At 44.8% G+C, this 6,037-nt stretch overlaps 1 annotated feature.

The window, feature by feature from the left end:
• Positions 3,757 to 6,037: an enhancer, noted in NCBI's record as "VISTA enhancer hs1319". NCBI's record gives its function as "enhancer in: neural tube[6/8] | forebrain[5/8]" and the evidence as "EXISTENCE:transgenic organism evidence [ECO:0001131][PMID:17130149]".

Genomic DNA, 6,037 nt, shown 5'->3' with positions numbered 1-6,037 from the left:
CAGTCCTGTCCAGGGTGGGAGCCGCAGGTGGCTCAGTTTGCATTGTCAACAAACACCAGCCACCTTGCAGGATAGAGGCCACAGCTCCAGGAGCCAGCCAATGTCAGAAGGTGCCCTCTGGCAGACAGGGCATCCTAGGGACCCTGCCTTCTCTCAGCCTTATCTTCCTTTCCTTCCCCTGGAGATTCTGTCCTCCAACCCAGACTGCAGCTGTGGCCAGAAGCAAATACAGGGAAGAAGCCAGGGTCACTTTCTCCCACTGAGTGAACAGGGGAAGCTGCTGAAACTGAGCCAGAGAATGCAGCTAAGGGCAGGGGGAGCTGGGTCAGAGCCTGTGAGAGGCCAGAGGGGAGTTGATGGAGTCGTGGCTGGTTTTCCAGGACTGGGAGAAGGTGAGGACTGGGTTAAAAAAGGCTTCTAGGGAAGGCAGCCCTGGAGCTGGAGCTCAGAAGACCTCTCAGACCTGCCAGGAAGACCCCTGATTTACTGATGAGGCCAGGTAAGACAAGCAAACAGCCTGAGTCCCCCACAAACAGTGCATGGAACCAGCAGAGGCCAGGGCTCCTTCCTCAACCCCTTGCTCTTCGTGGAGTCCACCTGCTCCCTGGGCCTCAGACACAGATGTGGCCTGCATGGGCCCACGGAGGACGTTCCAGAGTCCCTCGATGTGGCCGTCACAGGGGAGTGCATCTACTCAGGAGTGTTTGGGGCATTACCCTTCATGGATTCAAAGGTTAGGTGCCGATTCCACCTTGCCACTGGTAATGAGGAGCACAGAAGACAGATGGAGGCAGCTCCCATGCACAGTATGCTAATTCTCTGACCAGTGGACCAGGAAATGGCCGGTCATTTGTGAGACCATCGAGACTCAGAGATGCCGCCTTAAAGCTCTCTTGTCTGTAATGCCGTGTCCCCATTGAGGCTCCTTAGAGCGATCTCAGCAGCCAATTTCCAGAGTTCCAGGCAGCATGAGGAATGGGAAGAGTGATGGATGTGTGGGGCTTTCCGGGGAGTACTTTGAGGAGCCCTCCATCTGTGCTCAGGCTGCCCTGGTTCTCTGCATGCACTGGGTACCCTTGGGCTGGTCCCAGCACCTCCACTTCTGCTTCTGAGAAATTGAGATTGCTGTGCTCCGGGGCCTCCTCCAGGGCTGTGGCCGGGACCAGGTGGCAGGTACACAGCTTCGAGGGCCAGAAGACTCCTGAGAGAACAGAATTGTGGATGCAAATGGGCATTTCTGGACTCTCTGCTGACTCTCAGCCCCATCACTCTCTCTATGACTCATGGGGCAGTGGGCGAGGGTGGGATTTGCGGAGGTTGGTCTTCATATTCTGTGATGTGCTCCTGGCCCCTTTCCTTCTGATCACTAGTCATAGAGTCCTGTGCTATGGGAAAGCCGCCTGAACTGGGAAAGCCCTCCCTACCAGGATAACACAGGCCTGGAGAGCCTGACTTCGTGTGGAATCTGCAGGTGAAGTGTGTGTGTGTGTGTGTGTGCGCGCGCGCGTGTGTGTGTCCTGCTCACACTGATCAAAGTATGTAAGGGATGGAGCTCTGCAGCATTGAGGCCTTAATGTAAAAGGGTGTGCACTGTCTCCTGCGGCTCCCAAGATATCACCTACGGTACATGAAGTCCTTGCTGAACTAGCAAATTGGTGCAGGAAAAATTCCACTTTAAACAAATCTCTTTAAAATATGGACCCTCTCGTAATAAATGGTGGAAACAAAAGAGGTTTGATGTAGAGTTCGTCTTGAAACTTACAATTTGCCTTAAAATTTATGAAAAAAGATGTATCTCATTTTTAGACTAAGGCTATAATTGCACCTATAATCTTAGACTGAACAAAGAATGAATCGAATGTTAATTGGGAGGGGGGCATACGTTTTTCAGTACAAAATTGTATGATGGCTCACTCTGTGGGCCATTCTTTGTGGTTGATTTTCACAGCATGGTCTTAGAGTGTCATTTTTGCAAAATTATCCAAAGGCTTCATGCATTTTCACAAGGGCATATCTTCACCCACAGCACTCAAATCATTCTCTTTTGAGTGTCGACTGTGTCATCCCTCTTGCCCATTTTTTTCTTTAACTCAAGAATGGCCAGATCCTCATTTGTCAATGGCTTTTCATAGAATTCTAATGGCTCTCCAGCGTCATTTTCACAACTCCAAGAAATCCTGCAACTGTGGCACAATTTGCAGTTTCGTTTTGCCATCAATTTATATGGGCTTTGCAAAGTATTGTTGGAACATCTGACAATTAGTGAGACAGATAGTAAAGATGATCAGGGTTGAGCAAAGACAGCTAGAGTTCAGCAGAAGGGGACATTCCGGTGGGTGCTACTTTCATAGGTACTCGGTTCTTTAGTGAGCATAGCTTTATGATGGCTTTCACTGCCCTAAGGAAATGATCTGGATGCAGGTAATGAATCCTAAGATAATGAGGAGCCAGGAGTGTGGTGTTTCTCTTTTTATGCATCCAGAGCCTCTTTCCTATGAGAAAGAGCAGTGCAGGTAGCCTGCTTCATTTGGCGTTTGCTCTGCTGATTCTCTCTGGACCATATCTGGCAGGAGCCTCTGAAAAGAATCAACTCACGTCTAATGCAGTAGAGCTTTACCAAAACAGCTCCAGACCTAACTGCGACCTCCTTAAATTGAGTTCTGGTAGCCTTCCCATTATTGGATAGACATAAGGTTCAATCCAAGATGACACTTCCCTTTTGCCATTTCCCCAGGCCTCAAGGAGACAGCGGGCAGTACTTTGGGAAATTCATTTCATCAAGCACCAGTGGTCTTCCAGGTCTTAAATAATAAGAGTAACAAGTAAAATTGATTGAATACTTCCTTCCTTGAATACTTCCTAGGTACTGGGTATTGTTGGAAACATTTTACAAGTATGCTTTTATTTAATTCTCACTGTCCTTTTGGTGTTAATTTCATTTTAAAGTTGAGGAAATATAATCAAATTAACATGGGAACAGAAAAGCAAACACCACATGTTTTCACTTACAAGTGGGAGCTAAATATTGGGTAAACATGGAGGTAGAGATGATAACAATAGGCCGTGTGCAGTGGCTCACACCTATAATCCCAGCACTTTGGGAGGCTGAGGTGGGTGGATCATGAGGTCAGGAGTTCAAGACCAGCCTGGTCAATATGGTGAAACCCCATCTCTACTGAAAATTAACCAGGTGTGGTGGCTTACACCTGTAGTCCCAGCTACTCGGGAGGCTGAGGCAGAAGAATTGCTTGAAACTGGAAGGCGGAGGTTGCAGTGAGCCAAGATTGTATCACCACACTCCAGCCTGGGTGACAGAGGAAGACTCCATCTCAAAAAAAGAAAAAAAAAAAGATGATAATAGTAGAAACTGAGGACTATTAGAGGGGAATGGGGGCAATGGGGCAAGGGTTGAAAAGCTAACTCTTGGATACTCTGCTCACTTCCTGTGTGATGGGATCAGTTGTACCCCAAACCTCAGCATCACACGACATACCCATGTGACAAACCTGCATATGTACTCCATGAATCTAAAAAAAAGTTGAGATACATATAAATAAATACAAACAATAAAGGAAACACCAAAAATAAATAAATAAAGTCAAGGAAATAAAGACATAGAAAGATGATTGTTTTCCAGGTCACACAGGAGGTAAATTATGAACTGAGATTTGAACCCAGGCTGTCTGACTCTAGACCTCATCCTCATAACTAATATTGTTTTGGGGACTAAGCTGGTTTTTTCCTTCTGGGTTTGAATAGTGCTGGGGGTAGAATGGGGACATTGTGGCAGTTGCACATTCAGGATCATCTCGCTCCCCTCTCACACTGGGTAAGTGAAAGAAATGAAGACCCAGGACATCATGCCCAACTTGCCTGATAACTTGCCCAATGCAGTCTCCCAAATGAATAGCAAAGCGCAATTAAAACCTAGGGTCTCCTAAGACAAGACTTTAACAAGCATACTTGCTGTTTAATCAGAATCCATTTTTAAAATTCTATTCCTAAGTCAAGAAACTGTCTTTTAGGAAAGGCCACCCCAGAAAAGCTGTTGCCACTGTCTCAACAGGCACAGAGGTATTTTCTCAGAGATGCCTCATTTCTTGAAGCTGATAAAATAACTGGGTTGAACAGGCTCAATGCAGACTTTCCCCTACCATGAGCTCTTTTATAGCCACTAAAAAGTCACTTTTTGGGGGGCTTATTATCCCTCAAGATCTTGTGCTGTCCATTTGCATATGAAAGAGGAAGTTCATAAAAGCCCTTTCTTATTTTCTAACACGGGTTCAAATCAGAGGCCATTATCATCCTATAGAAAGACCCAAATGGCATATGGATCATTCTGAAGAAGGGGGCGAGCGCCTTTTAAGAGAATTGTTTTAGTTTTTGCAGGAAATTAATCAGAGGGACGGGCTTTGTGGAGCGGGGAGCAAATCTAATCTGTCCTTTGTTCGAATTTGCCTTGCTCCAATTCCTAGCAATTGTAGACAACATGCTCTTTTGTTTGGGAGACACTTGTTACATGCATAATTAGAGACTGCAGTAGCTGTGTTTAAAGAAAAACTGTTTTCCAATGTAATGTGTGATCTTGATAATAGTATTTTCATCAAAGGTAGCAATTACATTCATTAAGCTGGGACTGGCGTGGCGGCAAGGAAATTAAGTGGAAAGTGAATAAAAAGCTCCCCTCCCCCCTTTTATCTCCTTCTCTTTATAAGTTGAAATGCACCATGGTGAGCTGTAACTGGGAAATACATAGTGAATATAAAAAAATAAAGTCCTCCTTAACCTTTCTGAATAATGACCCTGCAGATATCCTAGGGATGGCAACTATAGATGCACTTTTCAAATTAAAGGGCTTTATTCTACCTTAATTTCCTATGCAAGTTTTAAATGAGCTCAACATATGATTCAGGTCTTTAAAGGCTGCAGGGCTCTTTAGGATTAATTCACTGTTCTTTTCACACATAAATTAATAGTTTTGTGTTCTCAAAAAAAAAAAAACCACAACAAGGCATAAATCAACCAGTTTAGGAGAGAAACAAGGACAGTTGCCTATTTTTAATTACCCCTTTAACTATTCATTTAGGTTTCCTTGTGCTTTAATTTTGAGGATATTATAAATGAAGTTCACACATTAAAGTGGAAAAATAGCCCAGGAAAAGAGTACCCACAGATTCCTAACTGTCACTGTGCTGCTGTGAGAAACTTATTCTGGAAAGACAAACCTATGTGAATATATATGTATACGTAGGCATGTGTGTATGTGTGTGTGTATGCGTGTGTGTGTACGTGTGTGTATGTGTATGTATGTGTATGTGTGTGTATGTGTGTGTATGTGTGTGTGTGTGTATGTGTGTGTGTATGTGTGTGTATGTATGTGTATGTGTGTGTATGTGTGTGTGTATGTGTGTATCTCCTCCAGGCAGATGCTCTATGCTTATTCCCCCGCATTAAAAGTCCTGCTTTAAAATGTCCTTGTAATTCCTCAAAGGGCTTGATGATTCCAATTTTATTCCACAGAGCACAGTGAGAGCCAGACATTCCTGGGCAAAATTAGGTGGAGACACGCCACCTCCTCTCAGCACCCTAGCTTCACCATTGACCTGAAATGCTTTCCGAGAAAATGAAACCAGTTCACAAAAATCAATTGGGAACCCTTATTTTGTGTGTGTGATTGGACACACACAGCTCTGCAGCAGGAATCATTATCTCTAGATTGATTGACCCAAATGTCATGCAGATCATCTTGGAGTGGAAGCCAAAGTGCTTGGACGGTTTCGCATTTTCTGCTGGCTGCACAGCTAGACGCGGCAGTGGCCTTGATGGCAAACCTCTAACCAAGTGGGTCAGGGTATTTTACCCTTGGCTAAAGGAGTTGCTGTAATTTGAGAAAAAGTGGGACTTCAGAAGTTTTACAACTTTACTTTCTGATCTGCTCATTAGCAGTTGCTTTGACTTTATTATGAGGCAGGAATGTTGAATGAGGAGCCAGGAGAGCCAGCCTGTGGCCCCAGCTGGTAATTTATGGAACGACTCA

This window comes from Homo sapiens, chromosome 10 (genome assembly GCF_000001405.40).
Source record: "Homo sapiens chromosome 10, GRCh38.p14 Primary Assembly".
Lineage (NCBI taxonomy): Eukaryota > Metazoa > Chordata > Mammalia > Primates > Hominidae > Homo > Homo sapiens.
This window is presented reverse-complemented; position numbering and strand designations above follow the sequence as displayed.